Source organism: Homo sapiens, chromosome 5 (assembly GCF_000001405.40).
Source record: "Homo sapiens chromosome 5, GRCh38.p14 Primary Assembly".
NCBI lineage: Eukaryota > Metazoa > Chordata > Mammalia > Primates > Hominidae > Homo > Homo sapiens.
The window spans coordinates 17,630,447-17,653,499 of record NC_000005.10 but is presented as its reverse complement, the minus strand read 5'-3'; the positions used below and the strand labels follow the sequence as shown (position 1 = coordinate 17,653,499).

General features: G+C 41.0%; 2 protein-coding genes and 1 pseudogene across 2 annotated transcripts, besides 1 other annotated feature; all 3 read right to left on the bottom strand.

Moving 5' to 3' along the window:
* LOC391768 (TAF11 RNA polymerase II, TATA box binding protein (TBP)-associated factor, 28kDa pseudogene) lies at positions 3,865-4,460 on the bottom strand (annotated as a pseudogene).
* TAF11L14 (TATA-box binding protein associated factor 11 like 14) lies at positions 18,447-19,040 on the bottom strand. Its single transcript, NM_001401687.1, has one exon. It carries the CDS (start codon positions 19,038-19,040, stop codon positions 18,447-18,449), a length of 594 nt encoding a protein of 197 aa, NP_001388616.1.
* On the bottom strand, positions 20,816-21,412 carry TAF11L13 (TATA-box binding protein associated factor 11 like 13). Its single transcript, NM_001401695.1, has one exon. The coding sequence runs from the start codon at positions 21,410-21,412 to the stop codon at positions 20,816-20,818; it is 597 nt and encodes a 198-aa protein (NP_001388624.1).
* Positions 20,876-21,628: an enhancer, noted in NCBI's record as "H3K27ac-H3K4me1 hESC enhancer chr5:17631981-17632733 (GRCh37/hg19 assembly coordinates)". NCBI's record gives its function as "activates a minimal SCP1, AML or CMV promoter by ChIP-STARR-seq in primed H9 embryonic stem cells {active_cell/tissue: H9 hESC(primed)}" and the evidence as "EXISTENCE:reporter gene assay evidence [ECO:0000049][PMID:30033119]".

Below are 23,053 nucleotides of genomic sequence, written 5' to 3'. Positions count from 1 at the left end.
TGGACAGCAAACTGCTTTGAAAGATAAACCACTTCCAAGAGACTATGGTGATTTCACATTGAAGACAGAAGTTGCTCTGCCTTAGGACTTTGCTTTTTCTGGGTTTTATTTTCTTATCATGATCAGTTACTAGTTCATATTTTCTGTTGAATTTTTTTAAAGGCATTATTGATGAGATTATGGCTTTCTCACAAAAAATATTACTTTGGTGAAAGTGGATTGAAATTAACAGAACTTAAATTTTTCAATGCTTTTCAAGTACAAGAGTTGAACATGGCATGGTTAGGTGAGGGAGTAGGAGGTAGATTTTGACAAACACGATTTTTTCAATTTAGATGATTTCAAATGTTTTGTTTTTATCCAAACTACAGAAAATTTTAATAAGTTGTCAATTCAAAGGTCATTACAAAAAAAAATTTGAAGCTAAATCACAATGTAATTTTTGAATTACGATCTCAAAAAATTTGAATAACTGGATGGCATTGCTGTGACAAAACAAGGTTTTTCAGCTCTTTCATCTTTAAAAACAAAAACCTGATGCGGAATCATCTCGTTTTACCAAACACTAGTATGCTCCCTTGAATATGTGCCTAAGAAAAATGAATTAAAAACAAAAAAACTTCATCTACCTCATTAATAGGTTCATATAAAAGAAAATATTTTCTTATAAAATAGACTGCTAGATATTCCTATACTCGGCACTAACTCGAAATTATATGACGTGTCTCTCCAATATTCATGATAGTTATTAAACTATTACAAAGATCTGACTCCATTCATTTTGTGAGAGCATGGCCCCCTTCTCCGCCATATATGAAAGTTACCACTCTACTTTGTATCCTTCTTCATAGAAAACATAACACCATCAAATTATTATTTAAACTTGTCTAATTGGGGTACAAGTTTGTTTAGTTGTACTTTTGAAGATCAGACCCTAGATACTACACACTTGGAAACAGTGCAGCTAGATTGTTTAAACTTTATTTGGGCACAGACTAAGTACTTTTGGGGGGCAAAGGCAGGCAGGGCGGATGTTAAGGTTATTTCAGAGTGATCCTAAATTATTGAAAATAACTGTGAAGTTGTAGGCCATATGCGGTGGGTCACACCTGTAATCCCAGCACTTTGAGAGGCGAGGCGGGTGGATCTCTTGAAGTCAGGGGTTCAAGACCAGCTTAGCCAACATGGTGAAACTCCATCTCTACTAAAAATACAAAAATTAGCCAGTGTGGTGGCACATGCCTGTAATCCCAGCTACTCTGGAGGCTGAGGCAGGAGAATTGTTTGAACCTGGAAGGCAGAGGTTGCAGTGAACCAAGATCATGCCACTGTATGCCAGCCTGGGCAACTGAGCAAGTCTCCATCAAAAAAACAAAAAAAGAAAAAAAGAAAGCAGGGAAGGACGGGGAGGGGAGAGGAAGGGAGGGGGAGGGGGAGGGGAGGGGAAGGGAGGAGGATGGGAGGGGGAGGGGAGGGGGAGGGGAGGGAAGGGGAGGGGAAGGGAAGGGAAGGGTAAAAGGAAGGAAAGAAAGAAGGAAAGACAGAAGAAAGGAAAGAAAGAAAGAAAGAAAGAAAGAGAAAGAAGCTGCGAAGTGTAGTCCCTTCATTTGTTAGTCATCTCCTCACTACCTGACCAGTTCCAACCAGAGGCCACATTTTTCTAGGCAGTCTCCAAATGCACATTATGAGGTAGACTTTAATAATGGCAGTGAAGCTCCAGGAAAACTTACATTGTTATTAACATGTAATACAACCAGCCATGAAAGCTGTCAAAGATTTTTCCTGGAAAGATATCACTTTCTACAAATTTTCTTCTTGAGAACTGTGGCTATATGATATTACATATTGAGAAGATTTAGAATGTGTAGGGGCACTGAACCTTCTCAGAGAATCCATTTTTCCTCTTTGAAAAAACAACACTGTGTTTCTGCTCCTGAACTGACCTGACCTCTGAGACCTTGATGGGATCTTGTTTCTGTCTTCAGCAGTTCAGCTTTACTCAGACCACGAAAAGCATTGAGTTCTACGTGGGGGCCAGAAAAACATTCTAACCTTGTGTGTCCAATCACTACTCTCACTGCTATCTGTAGATTTTTGTCCCACCTCAGGTTGCTTGGGCAAGGTTCTCTTTACTTCTAGTGTTCAGAGAGCACTAGGCCTGCCACATCTGCCAGAACACAGCTTCCAAGACTCCCCAGTGCCATGGAAAAAGGAATGAGATGAGAGCAGTATAAAGCCTGGGTGATATTGAGACCCTTGGATCTTACTTATTTTGGTTGCTCAAGCACTTTAATTTCTGAGAGAGCCCTCCCAACTCCATGAGTTCTTCCAAGAATCTGTACCCTCCATATCCCTCCCTTAGACCCAGTAGTCTAACTTGTTATATGCCTTTACAAGGAAGTTGGTAAAATAAAATGAAAGCTATGTAATGTCAAAATATGGTGGTGTGAAACAGAATTTCCCCATCCTTGTTAAAGTTTAAAAGTTTCTGTAATACTCACCCAATCAAAGATAGGTTCTATGTACCATAAGTACCATTTTAAGAGCTAAAGCTAAGTTTAAAAATAAATAAAGTAACAGTTTTGAGGGGGTCTATTTGGCTTCAGGAAAAAATAATTGATGTTACTCTCTGTTCAATATTAGAACTGAACTGGAAGGGGTTTTAGATCCTTTTTGCTCATATTCTATGATTTAGGGGGCACAGGGCAAAGGTAAACAGGCTGAACTAGCACCGTCAATATCTGCGAGTTGTGCTGGGAATGTTCACAATGATTTGATAATAAATCTCAGGTCTTTATTTTATGATGGAAAAGTCTTCTTTGCCATAATAAAGGTAAAGTAGAGTATGTACAAGGAGACTATGGGATAACTTTATAACTCCTGATGAACCTACTTTGTTCCATATCTCAATAATTTATTTTTTATGTTGCTGTACTCAGGTTCAATTCTATGAGCAGATTGCCTCTAGAAAGCATAAAATCAAGAATACTCTGTAACAGTGTTTTAAACTAAATTTGGGTGCCTATAGAAGCACTGGTAATATTACCACGTGAAGCAAACCTGCAGGATCAATAGGCTCTCTCTATATGTGTCTTTTAAACTGTGGATGATATTACAAATGGGTGTTCACAGACAGGTGGTTTTTGGAATCTGTTTCTCTCTCTCTAGTCTTATAAGATTCTCCTATACTATGTTAATTTCCAATAATGTAGACAATCAACTTGCTGACATAAAGCAAAGTAGGGAGGAATACCTATGAGAACAGTCAAATAAGAGAAAATAATGCTTTGTGATTTTGTTTTTATTTCCTCAGGTTGGAAACAGTTCAATGATGACCCAAAAAAATCCATAAAAGTATTTAAAATACATACAAGGACAACAATTGCAGTGCTCCTGCTCAGACACAGCCTTCAGGGCACAAGAACACAAGAGAAAAGTCTCTGCAGGCTTCATTTATTGATACCAGACATAATCATAAAAGCTAAGACACAGCAACTCCAGGCTTCAGTATAAAACCATACAAGTCCCCTGGAAGAGATTTCCCTCTCTGAAAGCATCTCCCTGCCCACAAAAAACTCAAGGCCCATGTACCCATCTTCTTCCAACTAGGCAAACACAGAAAAATGCCTCTATATGCCCTAGGAAGCCCAAATATTTAGTCGAAGTGATTATGAAACAAGCCACTGTCTTCATCTAGGGAAGGCCAGTGTCAGAGTTTGAGAAAGACATTAAAGTCATGGGTAAATCCAGGGTGGACTGAGATGCAGAAGCTCCAGCAAACACAGTCCTGTCATTGGAAGATGAATGCAATACTTATTCCTGCACAAACAGACCTTTCCCTCTGGCCTTGGGCCTAAAAGAACATATTTTTTTTTTGTAGTTGCTGTTGGGGAAGAAGCCCTTGGGCTTTAACCTGTGAACAGCCTCCCTTAAATGCTTGGGATGCAGCGGGGGCGTTTCTCCCCCATCTCACACATGTCCAGGGCCTCTTGCACCACCTCTCCAACCAAGACCTTGGCTATTCCAGCCATGGCAATGGCCGCGTTCTCAGACACCGATCTGCCAGTGATAGACTGCATCAGAGCTGCAATGCGTGCTTTTGGGAAAGCTGACCGGCGACACACTTCGTAGCGGGCCAGCTGCTCCTCAGACATGGCAGAAAGCAGGGTTGTCATCCTCTGAGCCTCCTCTGCATCCACACTGGGCTTCCTCTTCTTCTTTCCTTTGGTATCTGTTTTCCATTTTTTGGCTGCAGGAGGAACTGAGGCTGAGGCTTCTTTGTCACCTGCTCTGAGAACCAAGATGTCCTGACTCCTGAGCTCACCTTCCTGATCCCTGGGTTCTTCCAAGTTCCCATCTAGGCCCTCAGGGATTCCATCCTTGTTGCTGCCCTTCAGAACTCGGGGCATGGTGAACATCTCAGCAGACACACCTGTTTGTCTGCCTGCCACCATGGGCGAGATGCAGATATGGTCCACGGCAGCGCTGTAGAGGCAGAAGTTCCAGCTAAGGTGGTTTGATTATGGATCTGCAATGAGAACCTTTCAAAGATTTTAGCTACTGTGTTTCTTCTGAGCCATAGTTCAGCCACAACTAGGCACGGCTCCCTGCCTCCCCCTCCCCCATACAAAAATACAGACTGGTTTTTCTGACTTCCACAATGTGAAGAAACTTGTGTATGGAGAGTATATTAGTTTTAGATCAATGCATAATAAATTCTCACTCCTAGAGATGTCACTCAGGTGTGGGCTGTGGGGATCTCTGGATCTGCACAGCCACTGCTGGGGACTCTCGAGTGGGGAAAAATTTCTCTCTGCCTGGAGATCTCTGTGATCTTAGGGAGGTTCAGTTCCTTATAAAGAGCTCAGATGATTGGATCAGGCCCAGCACTTAATGTCCATTGGTTCAGGGTATCCCTAATCTAATCAGGGATTTGTGAGCTAATCAATTCATGATTCCGCCCACACTCAAGGGATGGTCAGATGCAGGGTGTGTCTCCAAGGGGCAGGAAATGTGTGGGGCATTTAAGAATTCTGTGTGCCTCACAGAATCTCAGAGTTTACATTTCACAACAATAAAGAAAACATTTACAGTAAAAATTACATATTTTATGAAGTTGCACATTAGACAACTTAAATGTCGGAGCAAAGAAACCCCAGGGTTGTAAGGCACTAGTGTCAAGTGGATGTGTCTCAGTGAGTGAGTTTCAGAAGTTTACATCAATTGTTAAGAAATCGGTTCATTTTCACATAGTCCATTTCACTGGACTATGCCTACATTTAGACTACTTCAAACCAATTAAATTTCTTCTTGATGGCAACTCAATGTTTGTTACACTTGAACAAAACAGTAGGTGAGATCCACACTTTGACTTTTGCTATATGCAGCTATGTGTTTCCAAAGTTCCCTGTTTCCTAGGCTGTTCCTGCTAATTGGCTATGAACATACATTCAACTCTACTTTCTGAAATGTGAATAGAGTCTCTATCCAAAAGTCACATCACATTAAAGGAGGAAGAAAACCCAGTGTGGGTCTGTTCGTGGATGGAAAAGGGAGAGAGGCACACTTTAGAAGTCTGATGAAGTCCATCGCTGGCAGGTGGATGCCCTAGAATGAGGTAATGGCTGGGATGACCCAGATTTTGATCAGCAAGGTGGTAGGGAAGGCTGTGGACATATGTGCGATGTGGGGAGACATACCGCCACTGCAATCCAAGCATTGGAGGGAGGCCTTTAGCAGGCAACAGCCCAGGGGCCACTTCCCAAACACTGAGTACAAAAAAAATTCATCTCCCTCTGGACCTCAGCTTAGATAGAAAGGCCTGATCTTAAAGAAGAAATTACTCATCCCAGTCTTTCTATGACAGGATCCTCTGTGGGCTGGAGCTTCAGTACCTCAGCCCATCCTGGATTTACCCATGATTTGACATCTTTCTTAAGTCTTGGAAGATGGAGGTTGCAGTGAGCTGAGATGGCGACACTGCCCTCCCACCAGGCTAAGAGAACAAGACTCTGTCTAAAAAAAATAACAATTATCATCATCATATTTGGATCTCTGAGGTCCATGAATGGGCAGGCATTGTTCTGGGTCTTCCTAGTTGAGGGAAGAAAGGTGCATGGCCCTTGAACATCCTGTGGATAGGGAGCTGTTTCAGAGAGAAAAAAGAAACCCTTTTAAGAGACTATGGTGGAATTTTTAACTCCAGAACAACTGCAAGAATAAACCAGGAATCCCGAGAGGACCCACAGACCCTCTAAAGGAAGTGGACTGCTCCTGCAGGACCTGAAGACGCCCCAGATACTGTGCTCGTATCCGCAGCTGAGAGACCTATAGATGGTTCACATCACAGGACTTTGTGCAGAAAACTTCCAGTACCAGCCTGGAACCTTAGACTTCCTGGGTGGCTAGATCCAGAAGAAAGATAGCAATCAATGCAGCTTGGCTCACAGGAAGCCACATCCATAGGAAAAGGAGGAGAGTACTACATCAAGGGAACACCCTGTGGGGACAAAATAATCTGAACAATAGCCTTCAACCCTATACGTTACCTCTGGCAGAGCCTACCCAGATGAGAAGGGACCAGAAAACTAACTCTGGCAATATGACAAAACAAGGCTCTTTAACACCCCCAAAAAATCACACTAGCTCACCAGCAATGGATCCAAACCAAGAAGAAATCCCTGATTTACCTGAAAAAGATTCAGAAGTTTAGTTATTAAGCTAATCAGCGAGGGACCAGAGAAAGACAAAGCCCAATGCAAGGAAATCCAAAAAGTGATACCAGCAGTGAGGGGAGAAATATTCAAGGGAATAGATAGCATACAGAAAAACAATCAAAACTTCAGGAAACATTGGACAAACTTATAGAAATGCAAAATGCTCTGGAAAGTCTCAGCGATAGAATTGAACAAGTAAAAGAAAGAAATTCAGAGCTTGAAGACAAGGTCTTTGAATTAACCCAATCCAGCCGTGGGTCAAAAATGAAATCAAGATGAAAATTAAAACATTCTTTGAACTGAATGACAAAAATAAAACAACCTATCAAAACCTCTGGGATACAGCCAAGGTGGTGCTAAGAGGAAAGTTCATAGCCCTAAACACCTACATCAAAGACTGAAAGAGCACAAACTTACATTCTAATGTCACACCTCAAGGAACTAGAGAAAGAAGAAGAAGCTAAACTCAAACCCAGAAGAAGAAAGGAAATAACCAAGATCAGAGCAGAACTAAATGAAATTGAAACAAAAAAAAAATATGAAAGATAATTGAAATAAAAAGCTGGTTCTTTGAAAAGATAAATAAAATTCATAAACTTATTAACAAGATTAATCAAGAAAAGAAGAGAGAAAATACAAATAACCTCATTAAGAAACAAAACAGGAGGTATTACAACTGACACCACTGAAATACAAAAGATCATTCAAGGCTACTATGAACACCTTTACTCACATAAACTAGAAATCCTAGAAGAAATGTATACATTCCTGGAAAAAATACAACCCTCCTAGCTTGAATCAGGAAGAATTAGATGCCCTGAACAGACTAATAACAAGCAGCAAGATTTAAATGGTAATTTAAAAATTACCAAAAAAATGTCCAGGACCAGATGGATTCACAGCAGAATTCTACCAGACATTCAAAAAAGAATTGGTACCAATCCTTTTGACAGTATTCCACAAGATAAAGAGGGAACCCTCCCTAATACCTTCTATGAAGCTTGTATCACCCTAATACCATACCAGGAAAGGACATAACCAAAAAAGAAAACTACAGACTGATATCCCTGGTGAACATAGATGCTAAAATCCTTAACAAAATATTAGCTAACCAAATCCATAAACATATCAAAAAGATAATCCACCATGATCAAATGAGTTTCATACCAGGGATGCAGAGATGGTTTAACATGCACAAGTCAATAAATGTGATACACCACATAAACAGAATTAAAAACAAAAATCACATGATCATCTCAATAGATGCAGAAAAAGCATTTGACAAAATTCACCATCGCTTTATGATTAAAACTGTCAGCAAAATCAGCATACAAGGGACACACTTCAATGTAATAAAAGACATCTATGACAAGCCAACAGCCAACATAATACTGAATGAGGAAAAGTTAAAAGCATTCCCTCTGAGAACTGGAACAAGAAAAGGATGCCCACTCTTACCACTCGTCTTCAACATAGTACTGGAAGTCCTAGCCAGAGCAATCAGTCAAGAGAAAGAAATAAAGGGCATCCAAATTGGTAAACAGGAAGTCACACTGTCACTGTTTGCAGGTGATATGATCATTTACCTCAAAAACCCTAAAGACTCCTTCAGAAAGCTCCTAGAACTAATAAAATAATTCAGCAAAGTTTCCAGATACAAGATTAATGTACACAAATCAGCAGCTCTTCTATACACCAACAGCAACCAAGCAGAGAATCAAATCAATAACAACCCCTTTTACAATAGCTGCAAAAAATTAAATACTCAGGAATATACCTAAACAAGGAAGTGAAAGACCTCTACAAGGAAAACTACAGAACACTGCTGAAAGAAATCATAAATGACACAAACAAATGGAAACACAATCTATGCTCATGGATGGATAGAATATTGTGAAAATGACCATACTGCCAAAAGCAATCTACAAATTCAATGCAATCCCCATCAAAATACCACCATCATTATTTATAGAATTAGAAAAACTAATTCTAAAAGTCGTATGGAACCAAAAAAGAGCCCACATAGCCAAAGCAAGACTAAGCAAAAAGAACAAATTTGGAGGCATCACACTACCTGATTTGTAGCTATACAATAAGGCAATAGTCACCAAAACAGCATGGTACTGGTATAAAAATAGGCTCATAGACAATGGAACAGAATAGAAAACCCAGAAATAAGCCCAAATACTTACAGCCAACTGATCTTCAACAAAGCGAACAAAAATATAAAGTGGGGAAAGGACACCCTTTTCAACAAATGGTGCTGAGAAAATTGGCTAGTCACATGTAGGAGAATGAAACCGAATCCTCATCCTCATCTTTTTTTTTGTTTTTTTTTTTGTTTGTTTTTTGTTGTTATTTGTTTTGTTGTTGTTGTTGTTATTTTTGAGATGGAGTCTCGCTCTGTCACCCAGGCTGGAGTGCAGTGGCATATCTCAGCTCAGTGCAAGCTCCACCTCTTAGGTTCACGCCATTCTCCTGCCTCAGCCTCCCAAGTAGCTGGGACTACAGGCGCCTGCCACCACACCTGGCTAATTTTTTGTATTTTTAGTAGAGAGGGGTTTCACCATGCTAGCCAAGATGGTCTCGATCTCCTGACCTCGTGATCCGCCTGCCTCGGCCTCCCAAAGTGCTGGGATTACAGGCATAAGCGACCGCGCCCAGCTGGATCCTTATCTTATACATGAGGATCCTCACCTTATACAAAAATCAACTCAAGATGGATAAGGACTTAAATCTAAGACCTGAATCTATAAAAATTCTAGAAGATAACATTGGAAAAACCCTTCTAGGCATTAGCTTAGGCAAGAATTTCATGACCAAGAACCCAAAAGCAAATACAATGAAAACAAAGATAACCTAGTTGGGACTTAATTAAACTAATTTTTTTGCCAGCAAAAGGAACAGTCAGCAGAGTAAACAGACAACCCACAGAGTGGGAGAAAATCTTCACAATCTATACAATTTGACAAACAACTAACATCCAGAATCTACAATATACTCGGAAAAATCAGTAACAAAAAACAAACAATGCCATCAAAAAGTGGGCTAAGGATATGAATAAACAATTCTCAAAAGAAGATATTCAAATGGACAACAAACATATGAAAAAATGATCAACATCATTAATAATGAGAGAAATGCAAATCAAAACCACAATGTGATACCACCTTACTCCTGCAAGAATGGTCATAATCAGAAAATCAAAAAACAGTAGATGTTGGCGTGGATGTAGTCATCAGGAAACACTTCTACACCACTGGTGGGAATGTAAACTAGTACAGCCACTATGGAAAATAGTGTGGAGATTCCTTAAAGAAAAAAAAATTATAGGTGTCAAACCGATAATGTCTCCTGTGATTGATCAAACAGTAGATGAGATCCACACTTTGGCTTTCTCCATATACAGTTCCATGTTTGCAATGTTCTCTGTCGCCTGGGCTGTTCCTCCTAGTTTGCTATGAACATACATTGATCTCTACTTTCTACAATATGAATAGACGATGTATCCACAAGTCACTTCACATTAGGGTTGGCAGAATAACCAGTGTGGGTGTGTCTGTGGTGGGAAAGGGAGAGAGGCATCCTGTAAAAGTCTGATGCATTCCATCAGGTGCAGGTCAGTGTCCTAGAACCAGGTTACTGCCGTGGACATGGCTGTAATGACCCAGGTCTTTGTCGGGGAGGTGGTAGGAGAAGCCCTGGACGTGTGTGAGATGTGGGAAGAAGCCCCAGTTACACCCCGGACATTGGAAAAAGGCCTTTCACAGGGGACAACCCAGGTACTGTTTCCCCAACATCCAGTACAAAAAAAAATCATCATCTTCCTCTGGGAAGATATTGGTATCACCCAGATGAAGGCAGCAGCTGGTTTCAGAATCCCTTCAAATCATGTTTATATTTCAGACCAGGCACAATGGCTCATTCCTCTAATTCCAGCACTTTGGGTGGCCGACAGGGGCAGATCGATTGAGCTCAGGAGTTCCTGTCCAGGCCAGGAATCTTGGCAAAACTTCCTCTCCAAAAAGAAATTAGGTGGTGTGGTTGCTGGTGCCTGTGGTTTCACCTACTCAGAGGCTGAGGTAGAAAGATCGATTGAGCTCTGGAGGTGGAAGTTGCAGGGAGCCAAATCGACATCACTGACCTTCCACCTGGTCAACAGAGTAAGACTCTGTCTCAAAAAACTAACAATCATTGTCATTATATTTGGTTCTCTGAGGTCCATGCATGAGCGGGGTCTTTCTGGGTCTTCCTAGTTGGAGGAAGAAAGGTACATGGGCCTTGGGCATGCTGTGGACGGGGAGCTGTTTTCAGAGAGAAAAAAGACATCCTTTTAAGAGACTGTGCTGGATTCACACTAAATCCTGAAGTTACTATGACTTTGGATGTTTTTGCTCAAATGTGATTTTGAAGAGATAAAACAAACAGTAAGTCTTCCAATACTCTATCTAGAAAGTCCCGGGCTTTCTAAAGGCACTGGAATAGGTACTTTGTAAACATTTAATGCTTTTCCATAATTTTCCTGGGAAATCAACCAACTGTTTTTCAGCTTGCAAAATAAAAATGAAGTTAAAAATTAGTTTTTCCTATAAAATGGGATATTCACATTTGGACCAAGATTGTTTTAATTCACGGAGTGATCTTTCATGATGTTAGGGTGGTAACACACTCTAGGAGCTGCATGAAAAACTACACAGAGAAACACAAACCCCAGAGACCCTGTCTAATCTCTTCATTCATTTCCACGCCTTCACCTCCAAAGACCTGTTCCCAATGTAAACTATATTAATGGCTGAAATAACAGATTGGTGTGTGTTTTGTGCTTGTCTAAAACAGAACTGCATACAATAACAATATATTGTTATACTAGATGATGTTTTATTTTTAGTTTATTTTTCAGATTATTGTATTAAAAAATATAACGTCCTCTTACTGTAGGATTTGAGCATTAAATATTTTGTGTAATTGAAGCCTATTTGTAATTGTACTGACATGTAATTGCCAAATACCCATTATATAATATAAACAGTAATAAATATATAGCAAAAATAAAATGGAGCTCCAGTTTTCAGGGTGACACCTAAGGAAATTCAATGTCATCACTCTAACTTCACAATCAGAAAAAAACTGAAAATGCAAAGCATCAATATCTCCTTTGAAATCTCTCTGAGTGATGATGTCAGAGGCAAATACAAAGGGAAAATAAAAAGATTTCATGGTTTTTTATCTTCAAAGTATGCTACCAAGCTGTAGGAATCAAAATGGCAAGACATTGGGATAAAAACAGACACCTAAGCCACTGGATCAGAGCAAAGAGTCTAGAAATCAGTCCATACATATACAGGCAACTGATTGTTTAAAAAGGTGCCAACAACCCACCACCACAATACCACAGTTTCTTCCATCAATGGTGATAGGAAAACTCGGTATCCACATGAAGAAAAATGAAATTTGACCCCTATTTCATACTGTACACAAGAGTAAATCAAAATAAATTAAAAACTTGAAACTATAAACCAACTAGAAGAAAACAGGGGACATCCTCATTGACACTGGTTAAGCCAATAACTTTTGGAATATGACCCAAAAGCACAGACAATGAAAAGGTGAATAGACAAATGGATGGCAACCAACTTAAAAAAAAATCTGCAAAGCCGACAAAACAATCAACACCGTGAAGAGGTAAAATCATAATGAGAGAAAATATTTTCAAACCCAACATCATATAAGGGATTAATTACTGTCCAAAATACTCTAGGAACTCAAATGACTCAATAGCAAAAAACAACACAATTTAAAAACCTGGCAAAAGACCTAAATAACAAACATTTCTGAAAAGAAGACATACAGTAGCCAACAGGTATGTGTGTGTGTGTATATATATGTGTTCAACATCACTAATCATCAGAAATATGCAAATTAAAGCTGAAAGAAGATATCACCTCACACTCATTAGGATGTCTATGATCAAAAAGTCAAAAGACAACACTTGTTGATGAGGATGTGGAGGAAAGGGAACCCTTGCACTATTCATGGGAACGTAAATTAGGGCAGCCATTATAGAAAGCAGGATGGACATTCCTCCAAAAACGGAAAGAATAGAGCTACCATATAATCCAGCAATCCCACACTGCCAGGTATATACCAAAAGGAAATGAAATCAGTATTGAAGAGATATCTGCACTCCCAAGTTAATTCACAATAGCTAAGATATGGAATTCACCTAAATGTCCAAAAATGGATGACAGGATGGGATAAATCTGATATACATGCACAATGGAATACTATGCAGTCTTAAAGAAAGACGTGTTGTCATTTGTGACACACCGATGTACCTGAAGAACATCACGCTAAGTGAAATAAGCCAGGTGTAGGAAGACAAATACCAGGTCATCTCAATGATATGTGGAATCTCACAAAGTTAATCTAATAGATGTCAAAAAGAAGAATTCTGGTTGTCAGGGGCTGGGTGGCCATGGATGAAGGATTGAGAAGATGTTTGTCGAAATACACATTTCGTTTATATGGGGAGAATAAGCTCAAGGACTATATTACCACATGGTGACTATAGTTAACAATATATCGTATTCTTGAAAAATGCTATTAGCATGGATGTGAAGTGTTCTCACCACAATAATACATACGTCAGCTAATGGCTGTCAATTACCTAAATTAGATGTTAGACAATGTGCACATACTTTATAATAGCATTATGTACATAAGAAATATATACAATGAGATGTGCCTGTTTTAAATACAAATAAATAAATCAACAGTTGAGTGGTTGCAAGAGACCAAGGGTGAAGGGGGAGTGCATAGACGGGACACAGTGCATTTGTATGGAGGTGAAACTAGTCCATAGAATACAATAACGGTGGATACATGTAATTTTGCCTTTGCGTGAGTCCATAGAATGTACAACACCCAAGTGAATCCCTAAGGAGAGCTATGGTCTTGGAGTCAGAGAGATGTGTCCATGTAGGTTGAATGACTGTAGCCAATGTGCCCCTCTGGGGCAGAAAGTTGATAGTGAAGGGGGTATGCAGATGTAGGGAAAGAGGATACGGGGAACCCCTGTTCCTTCTGCCCAATTTTGCTGTGAACCTAAAGGTTTTCTACAAAAGTAGCTCTCCTTTTAAAACAGGAATGTGAACTTATTTTGTGAATATTGATTATCACTGGATTTCCTGTTCTGTGCATGGTCTGTGCATTGCATACAAGGGCATTAAATTTCTACTACAAGTATCAGAGAAGCCTGTTAATAGTGTATTGAAATAAGGGCCTTTTGTATGTGTGGTTTTTGTTTATTTGCTTGTTTGTTTTTGTCTGCTTTACTTTTTCTCATGCAGCCAGAGGTATGAAGGTAGCAGCTGTGACCTGGGTTCAGAAGTTCAGTGAACTCAGGGCCTTCACAGGGCTTCATGCCATTTTCAAAATGGGCAATGGAAACAAGGCTCAGCCCTGGCATCAAGGTAAAAAAGGAGCCAGGGTGCCTCAGTGACAGGCAGGGTGACAGAAGACTTTGTGTGCTGGAACTTCTGTATCTCAGTCTACCCTGGAATCACCCTCGATTTTAACATCTTCCTCAAATTCTGACATTCATCTCACCTAGATCGTTGAAGCAGCCTTTTTCATAATAACTTTCCCTAAATATTTTTTCCTCCTTGAGTGAATTGTCATTTTTCTACATCTTCATAGTTGGAAGAAGAAAAGTATATGGTCCTTGAGCATCTTCTGGACAGTGAACTGCTCTAAGAGAGAATCTCCTTCTAAGGGACTATGATGGTTTCACACTGAAGCCGGAAGCTGCTCTGCCTTAGGATTTTTCCTGAGTTTTACTTTTTTGTCATGATGAGTTGCTAGTTCATATTTTCTGCTGGATTTTTTAAAAAGGCATTACTGATGAGATTATGGCTTTCTCACAAAAATACTATTTTAGTGAAAGTATTTTGAAATTAACATGACCTGAATTTTCCAATACTTGTCAAGTACAATATTTGAACATCGCATAGTAGGTGAAAGTGTAAAAAGCAGAATTTGGCAAACACTATTTTTTCAATTTTGAGGGTTTCAGGTTTTTTGGTTTCAGCCAAACTAAAGAATGTCCTAATGAGCTGTCAATTCACAGGTCCATTACAAACAGTTTTGAAGCTAAATAACAGTGTAATTTTTGGAGTATAATTCTAAAGAAATTTGAATAATCTGGTGGTATTGCTAACACAAAACAAGGTTTTTCAGCTTTTCATCTTTAAAAACAAACAAAAACATGATGTGGAATTATCGCATTTTACCAAACAGCAGTATACTCCCTTGAATATGTGACTAAGAAAAACTAAGTAATTGGAAAAAAAAAATAAAGGAAACATCTCATCTGTCTCATTAATAGTTTCGTTGAGAAAAATTTATTTTTAAAAATATGCTAGCTATGTCTTGATATTTCTAGACATGACAATAAGTTGAACTTTCATGAATTGCCTCTCTAATATTTATGCTGCTTAAGAAACTATTCCCAAGATTTGACCACATTCATTTTATAAAAGCCCTGCCATCTTCTCCCCTATATATGTATACTAACATTCTGCTTTCTACCCTCTTCCATAGGAAACACAAATCCATCAATTGATCATTTTAGCCTTTCTAGTTTGGGTACAAAATTTTGTGAGTTGTACTTTTAAGCTTTGTACTTTATACTTCTAAAGACTAGACCCTAGACAATATGTGCTTGGGAAAAGTGGAGCTACCTTGCTTAACTTTATTTAGACATATGCTAATTACTTGTGGAGGGCAAAGGCAGACAGTGAAGATGTTAAGCTTATCCCAAAATAGTAAATTATGGAAAATAGTCAAGTACAGTCACTTTATTAGGTATCTTGTCACCACTTTACCAGCACCAAACAGAGACCACATTTTTCTAGGCAGTCTCCAAATGTACATTATGAGATAGACTTTAAGAACAGTAATGAAGCTCCAGGAAAAACTTCATTAACATGTAATACAATCAGTCATGAAAGCTGTCAAAGATTTCTCCTGGAAAGATACCACTTTCTACAGATTTCTTTCTTGAGAGCTGTGGCTGTATGATATTATATATTGAGAAGATTTAGTATGTGATTATTAAAAAGTCAGGAAGCAACAGATGCTGGCAAGGCTGTGGAGATATAGAAACACTTTTACAATGTTTATGAGACTGTAAATTAGTTCATCCATTGTGGAAGACAGTGTGGTGATTCCTCTAGTATCAGAAATACCGCTGGACCCAGCAATCTCATTACTGGCTATATACCCAAAGGATTGTAAATCATTCTACTATAAAAACACATACACATATATGTTTATTGCAGCACAGTTTACAATAGCAAAGAGTTGGAACCAACCCAAATGCCCATCAATGATAGACTGGATAAAGAACCTGTGGTATATATACACCATAGAATACATGGCAGCCATAAAAAAAGAATGAGCTCGTGTTCTTTGCCGTGACATGGATGACACTGCAAACCATCATTCTCAGCAAACTAACACAGGAACAGAAAACCAAACACCACATGTTCTCACTCATAAATGGGAGTTGATCAATGAGAATATATGGACACAGAGAGGGGAACATCACACAGCGTGGCCTGTCAGGGGGTGGGAGGCAAGAGAAAGGAGAGCATTAGGACAAATACCCAATGCATGCTGGGCCTAAAGCCTCGATGATGGGTTGATAGGTGCAGCAAACCACTAGGGCATATGTATACTTTTGTAACAAACCTGCACGTTCTGCACATGTATCCCAAAATTTAAAGGAAAAAAAAAAAAAGAATGTGTAAGGACACTGAACCTTCTCAGCTAATCCAATTTTCCTCTCTGAGAAAACAACGCTGTGTTCCAGCTCCTGAACTGACCTCTGAGACCTTGATGGGAACTTGTTTCTGTCTTCAGCAGTTCAGCTTTACTCAGACCCCACTCAAAGTATTGAGTTCTATCAGGGGCCAGAAAAATGTTCTAAGCTTGAGTGTGGAATCACCATCAGCACTGCTCTCTGCAGATGTTTGTCTCAACCTCAGGTTGCTTGGGCCAGGTTCTCTTTTCCTCTAGTGTTCTGAAAGGGCTCGACCTGCCACATCTGCCAGAATACAACTTCCAAGACTGCTCAATGCCATGAAAAAGGAATGAGCTGAGAGCAATATAAAGACTAGGAGATATTAAGTCTCTTGGATCTCACTTCTTTTGGTTGCTCAAGCACTTCAATTCCTGACAGAGCCCTCACATCTCCATCATTTCTTCCAAGAACCTGTACCCTCCTTGTGTCTCTAAGACACACTGGTCTAACTTGTTAAATGCCTTTACAAGAAACTTGGTAAAATAAAAGGAAAGCTAAACGATGTCAGAATATGGAGGTATGAAACATAATTTCCCCATACTTGGTAAAGTTTAGAAATTTGTGTGCTACCCAAAGGCAGATTCTATGTACAATAAGTCCTATATTAAGAGCAAAAGCTGAGTGTATGAGGAAATAAAAATATATTTCATGGGGGTATCTTTGGCTTCAGGAAGAAAGAGAACATGTTATTCTCCATTCAATATTAGAGCTGAACTATGGGGTCTTTTCGATCCTTTTTGCTTATACTCTGTGATTCAGGGGGCACATGGCAAAGGAAAACAGACTGAAATAGCACCATGGATATCTGTGAGCTGTGCTGGGAAGGTTCACGGTGATTCCATAATAAATCCCAGGTCTTTATTCTGTAATGAAAAATTACTCTTTTCCATCATAAAGGTAAAGCAGAGTATGTACAAGTAGAGTGTGGAATAACTTTGTCACTCGTGATGAACCTACTTGGTCCAATACTTTAACGACTTCTCCAATGTCTCTGTATTCAGGTTTGATTTCCTGAGTGGCTCATTAGTAGAATGAATAAAATCAAGACTCCTCTAAAGCAATGTTTGGAACTAAATTTTAGTGTCTCTGGAAGCCCTGGTAATATCACCATGTGTAGCAAACATGAAGTATCAGTAGGCTCTCTCTGTGCCTTTTAAACTACATATATGTTCATTACAAATGGCGGCTTGAGGAAAGGTGGCTTTGGAATTGGTTTCTCTCTAGTCTTACGTGATGCATCTATACTGTATCACATTTAATAAAGTAAAGGGTCACTTGCTGACATAAAGCACAGTAGGCAGGAATAGGAGAAGAGTCAACTTAGAGAAAAAAATGCTTTGTGATTTTATTTTTATTTCTGCAGTTTGGAAAACAGTTTAACTGTTTTTGTGATGACTCACAAAAATACAAAAGAGCATTGAAAATACAGAGAAGGACAACAATTGGGGAACATTTCTGGAGGCTTCACTTACTGAAACCCAGACATAAGCATACAAGCTAAGACACAGCAACACCAGGCTTCAGCATGAAACCATACAAATCTCCTGGAAAGGACTTCCCTCTCTGAATGCAGCTACCTGTCCACAGGATGCTCTAGGCCCAGGCACCTTTATTCTTCCAACTGGAAAGACATACAAAAATGCCACAATATGACCTCAGAGGCCCAAACATTTAGCCAAGGCTCCTATGAAGCAATCTGCTGTCTTCATCCAGGTAAGGCCAACTTCACATTTTAAGACACTATGATCATGGGTAAATACAGGGTAGACTGAGAGGCAGAAGCTCCAGCAAACACAGTCCTGTCATTGGAAGATGAATGCAGTACTTACTCCTGCAAAAACAGACCCTTCCCTCTGGCCTTGGGCCTAGAACATGACTTTTTTATAGTTGTTGGGGAAGAGGCCCTTGGGCTTTAACCTGCAAACAGCCTCCCTTAAATCCATGGGCTGCAATGGGGGCATTTCTCCCCACATCTCACACATGTCCAGGGCCTCTTCCACCACCTCTCCAACAAAGACCTTGGCTATTCCAGCCATGGCAATGGCCATGTTCTCAGGCACCGATCTCCCAGTGATAGACCACATCAGACGTGCAACAAGTGCTTTTGGGAAAGCTAACTGGCGACACACTTCATAGCGGGACAGCTGCTCCTCAGACATGGCAGACAGCAGGGTTGTCATCCTCTGAGCCTCCTCTGCATCCACACTGGGCTTCCTCTCCTTCTGGCCTTTGGTATCTGTTTTCTGTCTTTTGGCTGCAGGAGGAGCTGAGGCTGAGGCCTCATTGTCAACTACTGTGAGGTCCATGACATCCTCACTCCTGAGCTCACATTCCTGAGCCCTGGGTTCTTCCAAGTTCCCATCTAGGGCCTCAGGGATTCCATCCTCGTTGCAGCCCTTCAGACCTCGGGGTATGGCGAACATCTCAGCAGACACACCTGTTTGCCTGCCGGTCTCCATGGGTGAGATTCAGGTTGGCTCCATGACAGCAGCTGTAGAAGCAGAAGTTCCACCTGGGGTGGTTTGATTATGCATCTGAAATCAGAACCTTTCACAGATTTTAGCCGCTATGTTTCTGCTGAGCCATAGGTTAGCCACAACTGGACACAGCTCCCTGCCTCCCCTTTCCACACACAAACACATACACTGGTTTTCTCACTTCCACAATGTGAAGAAACTTGTGGATGGACAGTATATTAGTTTTAGATCAATGCAGAATCAATTCTCACCAATTTTGGATATTTAAAACAAACACCAGCTCACAGGTCAGAAGTTCTACTAGACCAAGTGACTGCCTCCTGCTCAGAGTCACACAAGGGACCTCCAGGATAGCTCTGGCTGTGTGGTCGTTGCCTTCACCTGAGAAGGGTCTGGCTTTGACCTGATTCGAGATTATGGCTTTCTCACAAGAAATACTACTTTGGTGAAACTCTATTGAAATTATCAGTACTTTAAGTTTCCAATACTTATCAAGTACAATAGTTGAACATGGCATGGTAGCTGAAAGTGTAAGAGGCAGAATTTGGCAGACTCCATTTTTTTCAATTTCAATGGTTTCAGGTTTTTTGGTTTCCGCCAAACTAAAGAATGTCCTCACGAGCTGTGAATTCACAGGTCACTACAGACAATTTTTGAAACTGAATCACACTGTAATTTTTGGCATATGATCTGTGAGCTGTGCTGGGAAGGTTCACGGTGATTCCATAATAAATCTCGGGTTTTTACTCTATAGCGAAAAATTACTCTTTTCCATCATGAAGGTAAAGCAGAGTATGTACAACTAGAGTGTGGAATATCTTTGTCACTCGTGATGAACCGACTTGGTCCAATGCTTTAACGACTTCTCCAATGTCGCCGTACTCAGGTTTCATTTTCTGAGTGGATCATCGGCAGAATGAATAATATCAAGAATCCTCTAAGGCAATGTTTGGAACTAAATTTCAGTGTCTCCGGAAGCACTGCAAAAATCACCACGTATAGCCAAAGTGAAGTATCAATAGGCCCTCTCTGTGTCCTTTAAACCGCCCATATGATCGTTACAAATGGCGGCTTGAGGAAAGGTGGTTTTGGAATTGGTTTCTCTCTAGTCTTACATGATGCATCTATACTATATTGCATTATAATACAGGAAAGGGTCACTTGCTGGCATAAAGCACAGCAGGCAGGAATAGAAGAGTCAACTTGGGGAAAAAAAAGTGTTTTGTGATTTCATTTTGATTTCTGCAGTTTGGAAACCAGTTGAACAGTTTAACTGTTTTCAAGATGACTCACAAAAATACATATGAGCATTGAAAATGTACAGAAGAACAATCGGGGAAACATTTCTGCAAGCTCCAATTACTGGAACCCAGACATAAGCATACAAGCTAAGACACAGCTACACCAGGCTTCAGCAGGAAACCATGCAGATCTCCTGGGAAGGGCTTCCCTCTCTGAATGCAGCTGCCTGTCCACAGGATGCTCTTGGCCCAGGCACCTTGATTCCTCCAACTGGAAAGACATAGAAAAACGCCTCCACATCCCATTAAAATGCCCAAAGATTTAGCCAAGGCTCCTATGAAACAATCTGCTGTCTTCATCCAGGTAAGGGCAACTTCACATTTTAAGACACTAAGATCGTGGGTAAATCCAGGTGGGACTGAGATGCAGAAGCTCCAGCAAACACACTCCTGTCATTGGAAGATGAACGCGGTACTTATTCCTGCACAAACAGACCCTGCCCTCTGGCCTTGGGCCTAGAACATGACTCTTTTGTAGTTGCTGTTGGGGAAGAGGCCCTTGGGCTTTAACCTGTGAACAGCCTCCCTTAAATGCTTGGGCTGCAGCGGGGGCGTCTCTCCCCACATCTCACACATGTCCAGGGCCTCTTCCACCACCTCTCCAACAAAGACCTTGGCTATTCCAGCCATGGCAATGGCCGCGTTCTCAGACACCGAACTGCCAGTGATAGACCGCATCAGACCCGCAATGCGTGCTCTTGGGAAAGCTGACCGGCGACACACTTCGTAGCGGGACAGCTGCTCCTCAGACATGGCAGACAGCAGGGTTGTCATCCTCTGAGCCTCCTCTGCATCCACGGTGGGCTTCCTCTCCTTCTTGCGTTTCGTATGTGTTTTCCGTCTTTTGGCTGCAGGAGGAGCTGAGGCTGAGGCCTCACTGTCACCTTCTGTGAGGTCCATGACATCCTCACTCCTGAGCTCACCTTCCTGATCCCTGGGTTCTTCCAAGTTCCCATCTAGGTCCTCAGGGATTCCATCCTTCTTGCTGCCCTTCAGACCTCGGGGCATGGCGAGCATCTCAGCAGACACGCCTGTTTGCCTGCCGGTCTCCATGGGTGAGATTCAAGTCTGCTCCGTGACAGCAGCTGTACAGGCAGAAGTTCCGGCTGGGGTGGTTTGATTATGGATCTGCGATGAGAACCTTTCAAAGATTTTAGCTGCTGTGTTTCTGCTGAGCCAGTTTCGCCGTAACCGGACACAGTTCCCGGCCTCCCCTTCCCACACACAAACACACACACTGAATTTTCTCACTTCCACAGTGTGAAGAAACTTGTGGAAGGAGAGTATATTAGTTTTAGATCAATGCAGAACGAATTCTCACCAATTTTGGGTATTTAAAACAAACACCAGCTCACAGGTCAGAAGTTCTGCTAGGCCAAGTGACTGCCTCCTGCTCAGAGTCCCAGGAGGGACCTCCAGGATGGGTCTGGCTGTGTGGTCGTTGCCTCCACCTGAGAAGGGTCTGGCTTCGATATGATTCGAGTTGGTGGCAGAATTCAACAATGCCTTAGGGTTGTGAGCCCCAGGCCCACTTGTTTGTTCTGCCTGCTGCCGTGAGGATGCTCTCAGCTCCTACCCGTGCTGCCCAGGTCTGGGCCGTGAGGCTCCCTGGGTGTGCACAGCCAGTGCTGGGGAATCTCCCACAGGGGAGCGTAATCACAGGGGGGTTCAGTCCTCCCTTATAAAGGGCTCAGATGATTGAATTAGACCCAGCCCTTAGCAGCCATTGGTTCAGGATATCCCTAATCTAATCAGGAAGTTGGGCGGGCACATCAATTCATGCTTCCGCCCACACCCAAGGGAGGGGCAGACACAGGGCGAGTCTCTGAGGGGAGGGAAATGCAAGGGACATTTCAGAATTCAGTCTTCTTCACAGAATCGAATGATTCCTCACAACAATAAAGAAACAATAAAGAAACTATTTACAGTAAAAATGAGACATTTTACGAAATTGCGCATTAGAAAATTTAAATGTCTGAGAAAAAAATCCCTAACTCATAGGGAAACAAGTGATTTATCAGGCACTCTGAAAATAAACTGGGCTGGGTGATGGGAATAAGAAAATATGATTTCAATGTTATTTTTTTTAATATATTTATTTATTTATTTATTTTTGAGACAGAGTCTCGCTCTGTCCCCCAGGCTGGATTACAGTGGCCTGATCTCAGCCCACTGCAGCCTCTGCATCCTAGGCTCAACGGATTCTCCTGCCTCAGCCTCCAGAGTAGCTGGGACTAAATGTGCGCACTACCACGCCAGGCAAATTTTTGTATTTTTTCAAGGAGAGACGAGGATTCACCATTCCGGCCAGGCTGATCTTGAATTGCTGACTTCAAGTGATCTGCCCCACTTTGATTTCTCAAAGTGAAGGGATTACAGGCATGAGCCACTGCGCCCAGATTTCAATTTTATATATTACATGTGTATGTATACATAGGTCACAGAGAAGCACCAAAGAGACATAAAATTACGTCATGCACAAAGATTTACATCACATTTAGGGAAAATTATGTTGATAAATGGCATAAAAACTACTTCAGAAGATAAAGCAGACACTCAAATATCTGACTTTTAAAGAGCTTTTGTTTATTCAAAAATAGTTGGTAGAAGATATGAAATTACTGGCCAGGCACGGTGGCTCATGCCTGTAATCTCAGCATTTTGGGAGGCGGAGTTGTGTGGATCTCCTGAGGT

Excerpts from the sequence above, each read along its gene's own strand:
- TAF11L14 (NM_001401687.1), bottom strand. The coding sequence starts at position 19,040 with ATGGAGACCGGCAGGCAAACAGGTGTGTCTGCTGAGATGTTCGCCATA.
- TAF11L13 (NM_001401695.1), bottom strand. The coding sequence starts at position 21,412 with ATGGAGACCGGCAGGCAAACAGGCGTGTCTGCTGAGATGCTCGCCATG.